Source organism: Homo sapiens, chromosome 3, assembly GCF_000001405.40.
Source record: "Homo sapiens chromosome 3, GRCh38.p14 Primary Assembly".
Taxonomy (NCBI): Eukaryota; Metazoa; Chordata; class Mammalia; order Primates; family Hominidae; genus Homo; species Homo sapiens.
Genome location: NC_000003.12, coordinates 153065280 through 153085265, shown reverse-complemented (window position 1 = coordinate 153085265; position 19986 = coordinate 153065280). Strand labels below are relative to the sequence as shown.

General features: G+C 42.4%; 1 pseudogene, besides 2 other annotated features; it reads right to left on the bottom strand.

The window, feature by feature from the left end:
* Window positions 4232-4526: an enhancer, noted in NCBI's record as "tiled region #12123; K562 Activating DNase matched - State 5:Enh". NCBI's record gives its function as "activates a minimal TATA promoter and a strong SV40 promoter by Sharpr-MPRA in K562 cells {active_cell/tissue: K562}" and the evidence as "EXISTENCE:reporter gene assay evidence [ECO:0000049][PMID:27701403]".
* Window positions 11171-12112: an enhancer, noted in NCBI's record as "H3K27ac-H3K4me1 hESC enhancer chr3:152790943-152791884 (GRCh37/hg19 assembly coordinates)". NCBI's record gives its function as "activates a minimal SCP1, AML or CMV promoter by ChIP-STARR-seq in naive H9 embryonic stem cells {active_cell/tissue: H9 hESC(naive)}" and the evidence as "EXISTENCE:reporter gene assay evidence [ECO:0000049][PMID:30033119]".
* On the bottom strand, window positions 16905-18097 carry HMGN2P13 (high mobility group nucleosomal binding domain 2 pseudogene 13; annotated as a pseudogene).

The window sequence follows — 19986 nt, the reverse complement described above, 5'->3', positions numbered from 1 at the left end:
TATGGTGGCTCATGCCTGTAATCCTAGCACTTTGGGAGGCTGAGGTGGGAGGAGGTGGGAGGATCACTTGAGGCCAGGAGTTTGAGACCAGCCTGGGCAACATCATTAGACCCCATTTCTACAAAAAAATTAAAAATTAGCCAGGCGTGGTGGCACACACCTGTATTCCCAACAACTCAGGAGGCTGAAGTGGAAGAATCACTTGAGCCCAGGAGGTCAAGACTGCAGTGAACCATGATTGCTCCACTGCACTTCAGCTTGGGTGACAGAATAAGACCTGTCTTTAAACAAACAAACAAACAAAAACCAACCAAACAAACAAAAAACACAGCTTCAAGTGGTCTAACTACACTTATTCTTGGGGACTAAAATTATTAAAATGTCTAATAACTTTGGAATTCAGTGTTTCCTCAGTGTAGCACAGACCACTTTCACAGTTTTAAAGAGCCGGTCTTCCTTTTCTCTGTTAAGATTTTCTTTGTTTACCTGAAATCTTCAGTGGGAGAATGAAAAGCTGTAAAAATTATGCTTTAACAATCATCTAACTTTTTCATCCAGTTCTCTGACCCCCTCATCACCCAGATCCCAGTTTCTGCCTACTAATAGACAATAAAGGCTTTTGTGAACCTACCCCACCGCCCCCCTCTCAAGGAAATCACTGTTTCCTACTATTCTATGGCTGGCTACTTGGTGAGCTAATCACTAGCGACAAATAAAGATATGAGCTGTATGCAAATGAACAATCTAATAATAAAAGTCTGTATGCACCCTACAGAATTCTCTAAGCCATTCATCCTTTTAATTCAATTTTCTTTGAAATTATACCCTATCCTAAACAACATTTCAATACCAAAGATATGGCATGGAGCCCTGCAGCATCCCACTTATTATGTATGTTGCTTTACTGTGATTTGTAGATATGATTGTTTGATTTCTCCTAATTTTAGGTTTCCAAATTAATTTTATTAGTTCTCCACATAAAACCACGATAACTAAATTTCTGCAACAATCTGCCTCAGGGATGCACATAGTACATTTTCCCTCCCTTCTCCCCTCCTGCCCTAACTACTCTGGGGCTTAATTTTTGCTCTTTCCTTCAACACTTAACACTTGAGAAAATCAGATTTTAAGTTATTATCAGGATCTTCATTTTCACGTGAATATTTAAATAGCTTATTCTGTAGAGCACATTTGCAAGATTTAGGATAATGAATATTAGCCAGCTTTCAAACTTAATTTTAAGTTCAAGGTTACAAATGCAGGTTTGTTACATAGGTAAACTTGTGTCATGGGGGTTTGTTGTACAGATTATTTCATCATCCACATATTACACCTAGAACCTATGAGTTATTTTTCTTGATCCTTTTCCTCCTCCCCCACTTCACTCTCCAAAAGGCCCCAGTGTGTGCTGTTCCCCTCTGTATGCCCATGTGTTCTCATCATTTAGCTCCCACTTATAAGTGAGCACATATGGTGTTTGGTTTCCTGTTCCTATGTTAGTTTACTAAGGATAATGGCCTCTAGCTCCATCCATGTCCCTGCAAAGGGCATGATCTCGTTCTTTTTAAGGCTGCATACTATTCTATAGTGTATGTACACTGCATTTTCTTTGTCCAGTCTATCATTGATGGGCATTTAGGTTGATTCCATGTCTTTGCTATTGTGAATAGTGCTGCGATGAACATACACATGCATGTGTCTTTATAATAGAATAATTCATGTCCCTTTGGGTATATACTCAGTAATGGGATTGCTGGGTCAAATGGAATTTCTGTCTTTAGATCTTCGAGGAACTGCCACATTGTCTTCCACAATTAGCCAGCTTTTTAATACTAAATTAAAAAGTTGGGTTAAAAATATGCACCTGTAGAGGCCAAGGGAAACTTGCCCTTCGCCCTCTGAAGGTTCATTGAAAAATCAGTTGCAAAGGGCAGATTGTTTGGAGGAAAAGCATGTAAATGTATTTAACCTGTACTTGGAGAGAACCACAGAATGATTACCCACCCCCCACAATGTGGTCCAGAGGCTTACAAACCATCCTACCAATACAGATTATTGGTGGGTGGCGGGGAGAAGAAGAATTCTGTTGGGGGGATTACTAGAGAGAATGAGTGGGCCAGAAAACAGATTAATTTGTACATTATCTTGTGAAAGGGTCTGTTTGGTGTGGTTACATTCTTGGTCTTAAACAGAGGTGAAAAAATAACAATTATTCCTTCTGACGGGTCTGGATCTTATGCAAATGCTATGGGGAGGTTGTCAGAAAGCCACAATATTTTGGGGTATCGGTTTCTAACCCCAACACAGCCAATAGTTGTCTGGAATACCAGCTGTTTATTATAGATATAACTCTAGCACAGACCTATTGAAAACTTAGGATTTCCACAATTCAATCTGCTTTTCCCATTGCTAATTATGAAAGAGACTGCCTGAATTAGTCTTTTTCTTTTTATTTTTTTGAGACAGGATCCCACTCTGTTACCCAGGCTGGAGTGCAGTGGCATGTTCACAGCTCACTGCAGCCTCGACATCTCCCCACAACCCCTTGAGCTCAAAGATGATCCTCCTACTTCAGCCTCCTGAGTTGCTAGGACTACAGGCAAGCATCACCACGCCTGACTAATTTTTTATTTTTTGTAGGGTGGGGTTCTCATCATGTTGCCCAGGTTGGTCTCAAACTAGACACAAGTGATCCTCCCACCTCAGGCTCCCAAAGTGCTGGGATTATAGGCGTGAGCCATCCAGACCAGCATTGAATTAGTCTTGATGGTAAGAACTCAGAATAAATTGGGAGACATAAATTTAATTTTTGGTTTTATTGTTGACTCATGTTTAGCTTAAGGCAGCAAGGCCAGCCATATTCATAAAGAGAAGGTGGACATTCACAAAGTATTATTTTGGGCCTGGCACAGTGGCTCATGCCTGTAACCCCAGCACTTTGGGAGACTGAGATGGGTGGATCATTTGAGCTCAGGAGTTCAAGACCAACCTGAGCAACATGGCGAAATCCTGTTCCTATTTATTAAAATTATTTTTTTAAGGTGTCATATTTTGGGGGTGGGTACTAGTATCGTTCTCCTACAAGTGCCTGGTGTTTTATTATTGAAGCTTAATTTATTTGTCTTGCCTTTCTCTTTTAGAGAGCAAAGGGAAGTAATGCATTAAAACTAATAACATGCTATAACTTAATATGCTATATTACTGGGCTCTTTGCTATATGACCGCAATGTATATGTGTGTGTGTGCGTGTGTGTTTGTTTGTGTGTGTGTGTGTGTGAGAATGATGGTTACAGGTAAAGTGAATAAGGCAAAGTGAGAGGGCAAAAGAGCAGAAAAGGTTATTTGGGGACACTGAAGACAAATTGCCTTTTTGTGCGTGTGTGGGTTTTTTTGTTTGTTTGTTTGTTTTAGCAGAGTCGCTCTGTCACCCAAGCTGGAATGCAGTGGCACAATCTCAGTTCACTGCAGCCTCCACCTCCAGGGTTCAAGTGATTCTCCAGACTCAGCCTCCGGAGTAGCTGGGATTACAGGCACATACCACCACGCCTGGCTAATTTTTTATTTTTTGTAGAGACGGGTTTTCACCATATTGGCCAGGCTGGTCTTGAACTCCTGACCTCAAGTGATCCACCCATCTCGGCCTCCCAAAGTGCTGGGATTACAGGCATGAGTCACCATGTCTGGCCAACAAATTGCCTTTTTGTGGTTTTAATGTTTTGTTGGTTTGTTTGTAGAGATGAGGTCTCCCTATATTGACCAGGCTGCTCTCAAACCCCTGTCTTCAAGTGATTCTTCTGCTTCAACCTCCCAAAGTGTTGAGATTACAGGTGTTAGCCACCACACCTGGCCTTGTCCATTTCTTAAACTATGAAATATGAGATAAGCTGTGAATCTATACAGTTATTTGAAGATATGTCAGCTCTTGGTTGATAATGTGCTTAGAAAACAATGCTAGACAAATAAATGGCATCAGTCATCTAAATGAGAACATTAGACATCCCCAGTGATGTGCTATTCTTGACCTTTAATACCTGACAGTGAATAGAGCTGTTAGGAAATACACATGCACACACACCTTTAATTCTGTCATATAATACATTTCATATTGAGCCATCTAAGCTACCCATAACCATGGCAGTTACGTAACACATTTTTTTTAAACCGGAAGTTGTTTCTCCTTCTTAGGGCTTATACTTTATAAAATGCTATTCTGTTTTTCAATTCTTCCAATATGATTTGTAGAAGGCAATGACAGGTTGCATTTTTAAATCCACTTAGCTTTCCTTCCTCTGAATAATCCTATTTGACAGGCTCCCTTCCACGCCTTTTTCTTATCATTAAGAACAGCTTCAGCTTGGTCTGTCTAAGCAAAAAGTAGATTAATTGTATAGTTCTAGGAAATCAACTGCCATGTCCTAAGAGGTAAAGATGAGAATTTCAAAAATGAATTTGTCTTTATCAGGAATGAATGGACTTAAGAACACTTCTGAGTTGTAAGTTAGTAGTTATCCATCTATATTGAATTAATGGAATGTAACATTTGATGACTTCTCTTGTAGTTGGAAATATGAAGAGACATTGTTTAAATCTTTTGCCCAGGATCTCAGAAGTTCATCAGAATTCTATTTTGCCTTATCTTTTGGGAAGCTACAGGAGCAGTAAATGTTTATCATTTTGAAAAGTTGCCATTTTTTAAAAAAAATCTTTAATTTGGAACTGATATTTTAATACTTTACACAATTGTGCTATGTTCATTTTCAACAGATATCATAGAAGACTATTTCTCTTAGGAAAAATATATTTTCTCCATTTCAAAAGAAAATTTAAAAACATAATTTTGGGCCGGGCGCGGTGGCTCACGCCTGTAATCCCAGCACTTTGGGAGGCCAAGGTGGGTAGATCACGAGGTCAGGATATCGAGACCGTCCTGGCTAACACGGTGAAACCCCATCTCTACTAAAAATACAAAAAATTAGCCGGGCGTGGTTGCAGGCACCTGTAGACCCAGTTACTCGGGAGGCTGAGGCAGGAGAATGGCTTGAACCCAGGAGGCGGAGCTTGCAGTGAGCTGAGACTGCACCACTGCACTCCAGCCTGGGAAACAGAGCGAGACTCCGTCTGAAAAAAACAAGAAAACAAAAAAACAATTTTGAGGCCAGGCATGGTGGCTCACGCCTGTAATCCCAGCACTTTGGGAGGCCAAGGTGGGCGGATCACCTGAGGTCGGGAGTTCGAGACTAGCCTGACCAACATGGAAAAACCCCGTCTCTACTAAAAATACAAAAAAATCAGCCAGGTGTGGTGGTGCATGCCTGTAATCCCAGCTACTCGGGAGGCTGAGGCAAGAGAATCGCTTGAACCCAGGAGGTGGAGGTTGTGGTGAGCCGAGATCGTGTTATTGCACTCCAGCCTGGGCAACAAGAGTGAAACTCTGTCTAAAAACAAAACAAAACAAAAACAAAAACAAAAAGAAAACATAATTTTGAGATGAATTAGTTGATTACAACAGTTATATACATATTAACTATTTCCTCCAAAAAGCTTCAATTGAGTTCATCCAGCATTTCAGGAAATTAGAAAGAGGCATGCATTACTCTTGGTGGGAAAAAAAGCTATTATGGCATCTAGAGGTTAAGCAGCTTGCCAGGTTCACTAAGTCAAGCAGTGGGATTGAGGATAAAGCTATAGGTTTCCTTGTCTTCCAGATGGTAGCAGAGTGAGATAAGACCTACACACCAGGTGTTTCTAAACAGAAGCAGAGTAGAGACAGACACCTAGAACAAGGGCCCTACTCTCTTTCCACAGGCCTTACCTGTGTTCAAGAATGTACAAGGTAGTTTTCTGAATTAAACAATAAGACTATCTGTGGGAAAATGGCTTGCGATTCACATCTCGAATAGTGTTGCCCACAGCAGTTTCTAGTGCCTCCGCAGGTGCTGTCTGCAAAGCTTTAGTGCCCAGGGAACAGGTGGTAAAACAGGCAGCCCTTTTGCTGGTCTCCCCCACCCTTGAGGGTTGAACACACTTGCACCTCTCTCCAAAATTTTCCTTTTATAATAATGTCGCTCTACGTTGCAATAAAGTTGATCACAAATGCACAGAAAGAGTCAATTCCCCCTAGGCAGCGCTGGAGGGGTTAAGGAGCAAGTGGACTCCATTTCTCATGATCTCTTCTACAAGGCAGGTAAGGGCCGAATGAGTCAGGGGTGGTCTCTACGTCACTATCTGTGTGAAGCTTGTGGTTATCAACCACCTGGGGCAAGTGTTTGTTCTGCTGGAGAACTGCAATAGAGAATGTGGGAAGCCAAAGAGCATGCTAAAATGGGCAAACAATTGTGTAGGTAATCCCATTTTCCCATTTTCCCACTTTAGAAGTTGCATATCTAAATAGAAATGCAGGGCGGGTGGGGTGGCTCACGCCTGTAATCCCAGCACTTTGGGAGGCCGAGGCAGCCGGATCACGAGGTCAGGAGATCGAGACCATCCTGGCTAACATGGTGAAACCCCATCTCTACTAAAAATACAAAAAATTAGCCAGGCGTGGTGGCAGGTGCCTGTAGTCCCAGCTACTCGGGAGGCTGAGGCAGGAGAATGGCATGAACCCGGGAGGCGGAGCTTGCAGTGAGCCGAGATGGTGCCACTGCACTCCAGCCTGGGCAACAGAGCAAGACTCCGTCTCAAATAAATAAATAAATAAATAAATAGAAATGCAATGAGGGAATCCAGTGGACCACACTGTGGTTTCCAAAGATTATGGAGGCAATTTATGAGATCTAAGATGTCTTTCTAGGGTTTGCTGGAAAATACAATTCTAGTTATGGAACTTTCATTCAGTGGCTTCCTGTTAACTCACATTGTAAGATATTGTTTATTGGAGGAAGCCATCCAGAGAAAGTTTAAAGGCTTTAATGCAGTATATAAGGTTCATCCTTCTCACTCCTGATTTATTTCCCTAATCAACTTTATACCCTCCACCAGTCCCACCCCTCACCCTGTGCACACTCAAATACATTCTCCACTCTAAGTTATTAACAGTTTCCCAGTAACATCAGGCTCTTTGACTCACACATGTCTCTTCCTGGGGTTATCCACTCTAACCCCTCCTTGTCTGCCTGCAAAGCTCAAGCTTCACCTTCTGTATGAACCTAAACTGGCTACCACCCCACCCCACAATAAAATTGACCCTTTTACTTTCATACCCCCATATAGCCCACTTCATTATCATACTTACTTGTTTACAAGTTTACCTTCCTGGACTAGACAGACTGTAAGCTCCTTGTGGTGGGACCTGTGTTTTATCTTTAAAGTCTTCTGAAACTAACATGGTGTCCCAGGACTTAAATACATTTGTTGAATGAATAATGATCGATGTTCTTTACTGTGTTCTATCTATCCCCTGATAGAACAACCTACAGTTGCAGGATTTTTTTGTTTGTTTGTTTGTTTTTTGAGACGGAGTCTGTTTGTCACCCAGGCTGGAGTGCAGTGGCACAATCTCAGCTCACTGCAACCTCTGCATCCTGGGTTCAAGGGATTCTCCTGCCTCAGCCTCCCAAGTAGCTGGGATTCCAGGCATGCACCACCATGCCTAGCTAATTTTTGTATTTTATTCTATTCTTTTTTTGAGATGAAGTTTCACTCTTGTCGCCCAGGCTGGAGTGCAGTGGCGTGATCTCGGCTCACTGTAACCTCTGCCTCCTGGGTTCAAGCAATTCTTCTGCCTCAGCCTCCGGAGTACCTGGGATTACAGGTGCATGCCACCATGCCTGTTTTGTTTGTTTTGTTTTGTTTTTTTTAGTAGAGACAGGGTTTCATCATGTTGACCAGGATGGTCTCAAACTCCCAACCTCAGGTGATCCGCCCGCCTTGGCCTCCCAAAGTGTTGGGATTACAGGCAGAGCCACTGCTCCTGGCCTAATTTTTGTATCTTTAGGGGAGACAAGGTTTCACTATGTTGGCCAGGCTGATCTTGAACTCTGTACTTCAGGTGATCCACCTGCCTCTGCTTCCCAAAGTGCTGAGATTACAGACTTGAGCCACCGTGCCCGGCCCAGTTGCAGTTTTTTAAGCCGTGAGGAATTTGGGAGAATGGAGAGGAAAGATTCTGGAAACTCGAAGTCCAATTCTATTTAAGTCCTGACTGTGCTGAATACTCTTTGGAAACAATTAATTCCTCTTTTTTTTTTTTTAACTACTTAAATTCCCAGATAAGTATAACCCAGGACATTTGTTTGTTTGTTTGTTTGTTTGTTTTTGAGACAGTGTCTTGCTCTGTCACCCAAGCTGGAATGCCATGGTGCGATCCAGGCTCACTGCAACCTCTGCCTTCCAGGGTCAAGTGATTCTCGTGCCTCAGCCTCCTGAGTAGCTGGTATTACAGCATGTGCCACCGCTCCCAGCTAATTTTTGTATTTTTAGTAGAGACAGGGTTTCACCATGTTGGCTAAGCTGGTCTCAAACTACTGACCTCAAGTAATTTGCCCACCTCGGCCTCCCAAAGTGCTGGGATTACAGGCGTGAGCCACCATGCCGGTCAGGAAAATTTTTAAACAATACTGATGACTGGGTAACCACTCTAGAAATTCTACATAAATTGGCCTAGAACAAGTGCTGGCTTTGGGAGTCTTAGGCACACCAGGTAATTTTAATATGCAGTCGAGGTTGGAAAACCACTGCTTTAAGTGTACTTACCTAGGACCAGGATTTACATATCCCCTGTATATTGAAAACTACCAACTTTACAGGTCCAACTTTAACCTAATGCCTGACCTGCACACTGCAGAACATAAGTGCCTCATTAATAATGTCTAATAGGCATCTCCAGTTTAGCATCTTCAAAAGCAAACACGCCCCAGGAACCAAGTAAAGGGCGACTTCATCCTCCCAATAGAAACCATCCTTCCAGTGGCTCACTCCAAAAATCCTTGGAGTCATCTGCAACTGAGGAGATAGAGTAAATTGAACGGTGGAGGGGAAAGCCAGATAAAGTGAGTTGGGAAGTAAATGAGAAATATAAGGGAGGAGAAGACTTTGACTGCAAAAGAAGGAACATAGAGAACCAGCTATAAGTAGAGTTAAAGTGAAGGGGCTTGCTTATAGTTTGTTTTATAAATTTGGAGATAACTGACTTCATTTAAATGGCAATGAGATGGACCCATTTACTATGTACATTGATATTACCAGGGCATGGTGGCGCGTGCCTATAATCCGAACTACTCAGGAGGCTGAGGCAGGAGAACCTCTTGAACCCGAGAGGCAGAGGTTGCAGTGAGCAGAGACTGCCATTTTACTCCAGCTTGGGTGATAAAGTGAGACCCTGTCTCAAAATAGATAAATAAATAAACAGTACATTGAGCACATTGCTTACTTTCTCTGAGTGTTTTTATTTGGACATATGTTTCTCAAGTGTGCACAGGTGATATGGCCTATAAAATAGGTGAACTGGAGAAATATTTGAATTGTAGAGACATTTAGAAGATATATTCACATAATTTGTATTTGTTGTTGTTTGTTTGTTTGTTTTTGAGATGGAGTCTCGCTCTGTCTCCCAGGCCTGGAGTGCAGTGGCACAATCTCGGCTCACTGCAACCTCCACCTCTTGGGTTCAAGGAATTCTGCCTCAGCCTCCCTAGTAGCTGGGATTACAGGCATGTGCCACCATGCCTGGCTAATTTTTGTAATTTTAGTAGAGATGAGATTTCACCATGTTGGCCAGGCTGGTCTCGAACTCCTGGCCTCAGGTGATCTGCCTGCCTTGGCCTCCCAAAATGCTGGGATTACAGGCATTACAGGTGTGAGCCACTGTGTCCAGCCTAGAATTTGCATTTGGATGTGGGATGAGGTAAAGGGAAGAGTCAAGAATGTCATTGAGAGTTGCTGGCTCATGGGTGGCTGGTGGTACCTTCAATGAGCTAGGGAAGAGGGAAGGAAGAGGAGATTTCAAAAAGAAAGAGAGAACTTCTGTTTTAGACAGCATATTCTAGGTGGTATTTATTATTCAACACTACAAATTTTTATTGAGGCATTTAATCCCTGTTGGGGGATACAAGGATATATTACTAATGAATAAACCCTAGTTCCTGTCTGCAAGAAGCTTGTAAAGTTTTATTTTATTTTTTTTGAAATAGAGTCTCACTCTGTTGCCCAGGCTGGAGTGCAGTGGCATGATCTAGGCTCACTGCAACCTCCACCTCCTAGGTTCAAGCAATTCTCCTGCCTCAGCCTCTTGAGTAGCTGGGATTACAGTCATGTACCACCACACTTGGCTAATTTTTGTATTTTTAATAGAGACGGGGTTTCATCACGTTGGCCAGGCTGGTCTCCAACTTCTGGCCCCAAGTGATCCGCCTGCCTCAGCCTCCCAATGTGCTGGGATTATGGGTGTGAGCCACAGAGCCCAGCCTTGCAGTTTTAAAGCGGTTATGAAAAGAACTACAATAAAAGAAGAGTCAGGTAAGTGCCATAAGAATTATGCAAAGATGTGGCCGGGCGCGGTGGCTCACGCCTATAATCCTAGCACTTTGGGAGGCCGAGGTGGGCGAATCACGAGGCAGTTCAAGACCAGCCTGGCCAACACAGTGAAACCCCGTCTCTACTAAAAATACAAAAACTAGCCAGGCATGGTGGTGCACACCTGTAGTCCCAGCTACCCAGGAGGCTGAGGCAGGAGAATTGCTTGAATCTGGGAAGCGGAGGTTGCAGTGAGCCGAGATCATGCCACTGCACTCCAGCCTGGGCGACAGAATGAGGCTCTGTCTCAAAAAACAAACAAACAAAAACCAAAAAACAAAAAAACAAAAAACAAACAAAAACAAAAGAATTATGCAAAGATATAAAGGTGTTCAAAAACAGGTACTTTTTTTTTCATATTTGGGAAGTTGCTGGAGATTAGATTCAGGAGTGACTTCAAGGAGAAGATGATGTGGGAGATGAATCCAGAAAAACGATTTTTTTTTTTTTTGAGATGGAGTCTAGCTCTGTCGCCCAGGCTGGAGTGCAGTGGTGCCATCTCCACTCACTGCAAGCTCCGCCTCCTGGGTTCACGCCATTCTGTCTCAGCCTCCCGAGTAGCTGGGACTACAGGCGCCTGCCACCATGCCCGGGTAATTTTTTTGTATTTTTAGTAGAGACGGGGTTTCACCGTGTTAGCCAGGATGGTCTCCATCTCCTGACCTCGTGATCCGCCTGCCTTGGCCTCCCAAAGTGCTGGGATTACAGGCGTGAGCTACAGCTCCCAGCCGAAAAACTAACGTTTTTATAAGCAGTAGCATTAGGGAGAACAATTAAGGTAGAAAAATTGGCTCCATAACAGACTAGAACTGTGATGGGGCTAGCAATGTTTATGAGACTAGCGCTGTACACTGAAGGTACTGTGGGCTATGTATATCCTGATAATCAGAAATAAATCTAGAAAGACAGGCTGGACTTTAGAGTTGTTAGACAGGTCTGGGTTGGGACATGGTTTCACCACGTGCTAAATACCTAACCTAGGGAATATTACTTAACCTCTATCAGCCTCAGTTTTCTCATTTCTAAAATTGACATAGTCATACATATTCCTTTTTTTTTTTTTTTTTTTTTGAGGCAGAGTCTCACTCTGTCACCCAGGCTGGAGTGCAATGGCGTGATCTTGGCTCACTGCAACCTCTGCCTCCTGGGTAGGAGCAATTCTCCTGCCTCAGCCTCCCAAGTACCTGGGATTACAGGCGCGTGCCACCATGCCTGGCTAATTTTTGTATTTTGAGTAGAGGCGGGGTTCCACCATGTTGGCCAGGATGATCTCCATCTCTTGGCCTTGTGATCCGCCTACCTCGGCCTCCCAAAGTGCTGGGATTAAGGTGTGAGCCACCGAGCCTGGCCAGTTAACACATTTAAAAAATTTTTTGCAGAGACGCCACAGTGTGTTGCCCAGGCTAGTCTCAAATTCCTGGGCTCAAGTGATTTTCAAATCTTGGACACCCAAAGTGTTGGGATTACAGCTGTGAGCCACCATGCCTGGCCCCATGTTTCCTGGATTGTTAAAAGTGTTTTGAGATATACATATGTAGGTTTTTGTCCATGGTTCTTGGCTGATAACTCCCATAGCCCTTGTTAGTCTTTTGTTACAATGTTGAGTGTTTTAGCCTCAGGGGCAGGCCTCAGGAAACAAAATCTCTCAGACCTTCTCCTGCCCTTCTTTTACCTGCCCCAAGGCAGGACCCTAATCTTCCCGATCTTTCTGATTGTGGGCCTTAAGACTCTACCCAGATTGTGTCCTACCCTATACCCCGAGGGAAGGAATGTGGCATCGTGAAGCTTCCAACAAACCCCAAGACTCCGTTCAGAGAGCTCCCGAATAGTGGAATGTGTGGTGCTTCCTGGAGGTTGGTGTGCCCAGAGAGGGTGTGGAAACTCTGTTCCTTTTCCTCCATACCTCACCCTATGCATCCCTTCATCTGTATTCTTTAAAATAAACCAGTAAACATGTTTCCCTGAGTTGTGTGAGATGCTCCAGCAAATTAATTGAACCTGAAGAGGGGTCATGGGAACCCCAATTTGAAGCCAGTCAGTCAGAAGTTCTGGAGGCCTGGACTTGCAGCTGGTGTCTGGGGTTGGGAGGCACTCCAGGCCTGAGCCTTCAGCCTGTGGGACCTGATACCATCTCAAGGAAGATAGTGTCAGAATTGAACTGGAGGAGACCCAGCTGGTGTCCACTGCTTGGTGTGTGGGGAAAACCTCCCCCACGTTTGGTCACAGAAGTCTTCTGTGTTGATGATTATTGTGGAGGTGCAAGAATAGAGGAAAAATACGGTTTGAGAGTTTTTTGGAAGCAGGTTTACAGTGGTTGTTTAATAGATGGTAGGGACTATTATTTTGCAGAGGTCTTGAATTCCAGAGTGAAAAGTTTATATTTTCTTTGCTAGTTTATGGAAGGTCTCGCACATGGTAACTACGTTGAAATAATCTTCCAGCAAAATATAGGATGGAGGGAAGAGGGAGAGAGAGGAGGTAGGAAGACAAGTCAGGAGGCTATTTTATAGTCATCTACTAAGTCAATAACCTCCTCAGGCTGATATTATTTCATGATTAATCAATGAATATCAGAGTCCTATTTTTGACTTTTCAGAATATAAAAATCTATTTTATTCCTTCTATTTTAATTCTGCTGTTCTACTGTTGGCTTTCTCTGGCAGCAAGAGAAAGAAAAATTAGTGAAACTTTAATGAATCAACCATTAAAAAGGAGGAATTTAAATATCTGTAGTTAATATGTGAAAGTAAGAATCTTTGAAAGATTTGGATGCAGCAGGCTGAAGTTAATGACCTGAATTTAATCTTTTTTCTTTTTAAATTTTTAATTAATTTATTTATATCATTAGAGACAGTGTGTCTTGCTAAATTGCCAGGCTGGTCTCGAACTTTTAGGCTCAAACAGTTCTCTCACCTTGGCCTGCTGAGTAGCCGGGATTACAGGCGTGAGCCCCCGAGCCCAGTCTGAATTTAATCTTTTATGTAGAGTGTCTGTTTAAATAATTTCTAACTTTCTTTTGTTCCAGCAACACAACTGAGTCACTATAGCATTCTTAGAATTTGTATCTAAGTAATTTTCTGGCAGTTACTTTTAAAAAGGCCGTAGTAGGCTGGGCACAGTGGCTCACGCCTGTAATCCCAGCACTTTGGGAGGCTGAGGCAGGCACATCTCCTGAGGTCAGGAGTTCGAGACCAGCCTGACCAACATGGAAAAACCCTGTCTCTACTAAAAATACAAAATTAGCCAGGTGTGGTGGCGCATGTCTGTAATTTCAGCTACTCAGGAGGCTGAGGCAGGAGAATCACTTGAAACCGGGAGGCGGAGGTTGCAGTGAGCCAACATCGCTCCATTGCACTCCAGCCTGGGCAACGAGAGTGAAACTCCTTCTCAAACAAAAACAAAAACAAAAAAAAAACTAGGCCGGGCGCAGTGGCTCATGCCTGTAATCCTAGCACTTTGGGAGGTCGACGCGGGCGGATAGCCTGAGTTCAGGGGTCTGAGAACAGCCTGGGCAACATGTTGAAACCCCATCTCTGCTAAAATACAAAAAATTAGCTGGGCGTGGTGGCGTGTGCCTGTAGTCCCAGCTACTCGGGAGGCTGAGGCAGGAGAATTGCTTGAACCCAGGAAATGGAGGTTGCAGTGAGCCGAGATCGTGCCACTGCACTCCACCCTGGGCCACAGAGAGAGACTTCATCTCCAAATAAATAAGTAAATAAATAAATAAATAAATACAAAAACAAAACAAGGCACTAGTAGGGCAGGGCTCATTCAGAGTCAGGAGTTTTGCCACTGACCAGCCACATGAGACCTTGGACAAGTCATTTCACACTCCTGAACCTCAGATTCCACATCTGTAATTTTAGGGGGTAATTTATTCTGTCTTATTCTCAGGATTGTTGTAAGGATCAAATGAGGTAATGGATATAAAAATGTTATGTTTTATAAGCCACAAGTGCAAAGGATTATTATTTAGACAAATCTATATCCACATAAATAAGGTACAACCATTAACACTGTATCTGAAACTTTCTCACTTACTTTGTTTCCTCCCCCGCCCTCTGAAGTTCTGCTCACTTTTTTTTTTTTTTTTTCAGTTGGCAAGAATTTCACTCCCATATGTCAACCACAATTAACCTCCCATTTTTGGTGAAATTTTCAAAGCATAATTTCTAACTAAGCAATTTTGTCATTTTGACTTTCTGTTTGCTCTCTGCAATGTTTTGGGATAAGTATGGGAGAATTTGGTCTCATATTTAAGTTATTTCACTAAGGACAATTTTGTGCAAGGAAAAGTTATTTTTCATTCATTTAATAAAACAACTTTTTGTACAGCAAACTGTCTTATTAAGGGCTGTGCCACAGACTCCAGGGATGACTTAATAGACTGAGTCAGCATCTTTATCTTGTGATGCATTGGAAGATGTGTTAGTTCCCCTAAGGAGAAAGAAGGGACAGACATTGAAAATAAAATCTCATTGCTTCCCTCTTTTTTTAGTTAATTTTCTGTTCTTGCCAACAAAAGGAAGCAGTTACTTGTGAAATATAGACACATGGATGAGAAAATATGTGTAATTACTTAATAAGGGGGGAAGGACTTACATAATTAAACTGAAATTCGGTGCATTTTATGGAAAGGAAAACCATTCCAACTAAGTTTCTGGCAGAAAATAATGAAGGAAAAATATTGAAAACATTTGCGGCTCTGAAGTCACACTTCTGTTGATACATATGGCACTAATGGATTTTGTGCTCCTTTGCCTCCTGGTAAACAGATGGTTTTATATTTGTGCTTAAGCTTGGTTAGATGGCTTGGTGGAAAAAAAGCAATGACCTTTCATCTCAAGTTTAGTTTTGGGTCTAATGATTTGTGGATTTTGTTCTGTCAAATACAAAGAAGACAAACTTTTCACATGAATATGTCACGTTTAATACCCTTTAAGATACTCAAACAATGACTGGGCTTAGTGAATAAATCACCGTTGATCCTCAGAGGGAGTTCTTTTTTTTTTTTTTCTCACTGAAACCAAGAAGAGTTAACTACAGTTTTATAACAGTTACTTATCTTATCTTGGGCAAAAAGTTAAATTAGGGAACTGTTTGTCTCATCGCATTGCCTGGTGAAGTATGCAAGTATACCAAATTTAAACATTAATAACATTAAAAATATACACTCATTTTTGATAGGTTAACTAGAAAGTTATATTCTTGTAAATATGTTGCTGTGGAGCTACAGTAATGAGCTCTTTTCTCCACTCCCCCACCCTCACATCGTATTAGAAAAATACTAGACCTATTCCAAATCCTAACAATGTATTTTTATTTATTTATTTTTTTGAGACAGGGTCTCGCTCTGTTGCCCAGGCTGGAGTGTGGTGGTGCAATCTTGGATCACTGCAACCTCCACCTTCTGGGTTGAAGTGATTCTCGTGCCTCAGACTCCCAAGAAGCTGGGATTACAGGCACCCACCACCACACCTGGCTAATTTTTTTTTTTTTTTTTTGTATATTTAGTAGAGACGGGGTTTCACCATGTTGGCCAGGCTGGTTTTGTTTGTTTTTTTTTAGACGGAGTCTCACTCTGTCGCCCAGGCTGGAGTGCAGTGGCGTGATCTCGGCTCACTGCAAGCTCTCCCTTCCCAGCTCAGGCCATTCTCCTGCTGCAGCCTACCAAGTAGCTGGGACTATAGGCACCCGCCACCACGCCCGGCTAATTATTTAGTATATTTAGTAGAGACAGGGTTTCACCATATTAGCCAGGCTGGTCTCAATCTCCTGACCTCGTGATCCGCCCGCCTCTGCCTCCCAAAGTTCTGGGATTACAGGCTTGAGCCACCGCGTCCAGCCAGCCAGGCTGGTTTCCAACTCCTGACCTCAAGTGATCCACCCACTGTGGCCTCCCAAAGTGCTGGGATTGCAGGCGTGAGCCACCGCGCCCGGCCCTCAAATCCTAACAATTTAAAACTGTACGTCCTATACAGTGATTACATATCTTTTTAGTGAGCTAACTATTGTACCATCGGCTCATACAATTAATGAATGGAAACAGCACTTCTAATTGATAAGCATGGCATGCATGACTGTAAGTGAAATTTAAACAACAGTGACACTCAGGGGAAACAAATGTAGCTACCTGACTGTTTCTCAGAAGTAGCCTGTTTAGAAAATGATGGAAGAAAATTGTAGACCTCTGCATTCAAAATTCCTGGCTGGAAACAGAAATGTACAGGAAAGACAAGAAGGAGGAGTTGATACTTTCCTTTTGGTAGGACAGAGGTACTAGGAGAAAAATAAAAGAAGGGGATGGGCTAGAGTCAAGAGAAGTTACATCAATAAACACATTCTCACCTGGCCTCCCTGGATGCCAGGACTCTTTCTTTCTTTTTTTTTTTTTTTTCCAAGCCAAACTGTATCCAGCTTTATTAGAGATACTTTCCATAAACAATCATGGTATTTCAGGCGGACATGGGCAGACAATCGTTAACAGTATACAGCAATTTTCAAACTCTCTTCTTCAATGGACTACCAAAAATCAGAAAGCCACCATAAAACCCAATGAAGTCTTCATCTGATGCTCTGAACAGGGAAAGTTTAACGTGAGGGTTGACATTTCACATTTAGCATGTTGTTTAACAACTTTTCACAAGCTGACCCTGACTTTCAGGAAGTGAAATGAAAATGGCAGAATGTATCTGAAGATCCACAATCTAGAAATGGAACCACTGCTCTTTTGACAGGTGCCATCTAAGTGGCATCACTGGAAAGTCCAGATTGCCTGACACACTGGTAACCAATAACTGGGAGTCAGGTCCCAACAGATGTCTGGGCTTAAGGAAATTAAGTCTATGATGAAAGATGGAAAGGGAGAAGGGGACATAAATATGAATTTGTTTTTCCATACCACAAGGCTTTTGTGCCAAGAGGCCATGTGTGTCAAAGTCAGGGAATCTCTCCTCCTGGGAGCCAAGAGGAAGTCTCTCAAAACTAGAAGGGAAAGGTGTTTTCCCCACATCAATCCAGCTTCGGAGGCATTCTATTAGGGACATAAGCCCCTTCCCCCAAAAACAACAATGAAGTGTTCTGTGTGCTAACAACATAGCTTTAAAAAAAGTAAAATAAAATTCTGCATTTTTATAAAACTTGATAAATAGTATTTCACACTGTACAGTCACCAGAAGTACACAGTTATCAAAAATACACACACTTCACTTGGCATCTGCAGCACCTTCAGCTTTCTGTGCCTATTCTCTTTGGCATCTCCATTCTCTGCAAGTTTATTCCCCTCCTTGCCAGCATCAGCTTTTCCCTTTTTCCCTTTGAGTACCTTCTCTCCCTTATTTGCAGGGGCCTTTTCAGGCTTGGGCTCTGGCTTTGGAGGAGCAGGTTTAGCAGACAACCTCGCGGATCTTCTCTATGGTTTGTCCTTCACCTTTTGGCTTTATTTGTTTTAGCATCCCCTTCAGCATTTCTCTTAGGCATGGTGGCGGGGATGACAGCCGTGGGACATAGGCACTGGGCGCGAGGTGCAGCGGCGTGCAGCCTTTGGTCGGTCCGGGGGTGGTTCTCGCCTCTTCTTCTTCACACTGCTTGCCACGACTCTTTCAACACTACACATAATTGTGACATAATTTCATAATTCCACAAGGAAAAGGAACTCTCACCTATTTTTATAGTTTGGTGTGTGTATGTGGATGTATGTGTGTGTAGACAGATAGATAGATATACATACATATAACCACTCTGGAGAGACTGTGTATAGGTATAGACACACTAATTGATTGAGTAAAGTTGTTTGGATCAAGAGGTGATTAGATGGAAAACTGTCTATAACATGTTAAGAGAAAAAAAGCAGGTTATAAAACATCATATGTAAAGCTTTTTTTTTTTTGCTCGTGTGTGAAAAATAGCTATATAAATGTATATCAGAAAGACTACAATAAGGCCAGGTGTCTGTGGTCCCAGCACTTTGGGAGGCCGAGGGAGGAGGATCACTTGAGGCCAGGAGTTGGAGACCAGTCTGGGCAGAATAGCAAAACCTTGTCTCTAAAAAATAAAAAAATTAGCCAGATGTGGTGGTGCATGCTTGTAGTCCCAGCTACTTGGGAGGCTGAGGTGGGAGGATCCCTTGAGCCCAGAAGATGGAAGCTGCAGTGAGCCATGATTGTACCACTACACTCCAGCCTGGGTGAAAAAGTGACTCTGTCTCATTAAAAAAAAAAAAAAAAGAAGCCAGAGCGAGAGAGAGAGAGAAGGAACAAATGAACAAACAGACTACACTGAGATAGCAAAAACCTCTCAAACAAGCAGGGAATATAGATGATTTTTTTCTTCTTACTTATTTGTATTTTCAAACAATCAAACAATCATGTCATCTTTAGAATAAGATAAAGTTCTTTAAAAAAGACTTATGGAAAGAAAAAATTCAAGTTATGAAAACATGGGGTAGTAATTATTAATTACACTAGTAAATCTCTATACTTAAGGGACTAGAAAGTGACTTAAATATAGGCATAAATAACATAGTATGTATGTAGGTATATATTTATTTTGAGATGGAGTCTCGCTCTGTCACCCAGGTTGGAGTGCAGTGGCGCAATCTCGGCTCACTGCAACCTCCGCCTCCCGGGTTCGAGTGATTCTCTTGCCTCAGCCTCCTGAGTAGACCACACCCGGCCAAGAACATCGTATTTATATTTCATTTCAGACCCTGGAACAGTAAACGTTTGAGAAGTAAACTATTTAGGTAGATCAGTCTGTACATACTGAAGGAATCCTGTATCATGATGTCTGCTATTACTTAAGAAAAGTTATTAACTGAGGAGTAATATATTAAACAAAATCCAGTGCATACAACTCTCATATAAAAATAAACTTACTTTAAAAAAATAAAAACTGGTCCTTCTCTCTCTGAAATAATTCAAGATTTGAATTGAGTAAATTACTATTAATAGCTATAATATGTTCTGACTAGAAACCACCAGCAACCATAAGGAGTAAGGAAAATTGTAATATGTGTTGATGGAGAAGATACTAGGAAAACAGCCACTCACACTCACATGCTACTGGTGTAAATATATTTTCACCACTCTGAGGAGTAATCTGGTAATACTCATCAAAAGCTTTAACATGGCAGGGTGAGGTGGCTCACACCTGTAATCCTAGCACTCTTGGGAGGCCAAGGTGGGAGGATTGCTTGAGTCCAGAAATTCAAGATCAGCCTGGGCAACATGGTGAAACCCCGTCTCTACTAAAAAAAAATACAAAAAAATTAGCTCAGCATGATGGCACAGACCTGTATTCCTAGCTACTCTGAGGGCTGAGGCAGGAGGATCACTTGAGCCTGGGAGGTTGAGGCTGCAGTGAGCACTGATTGTGCCACTGTACTCCAGCCTGCGTGACAGAGTGAGGCCCTGTCAAAAAAAAAAAAAAAGAAAAAGAAAAGAAAAGAAAAAAAGGAGCTTTAACTGTCGTTACAAC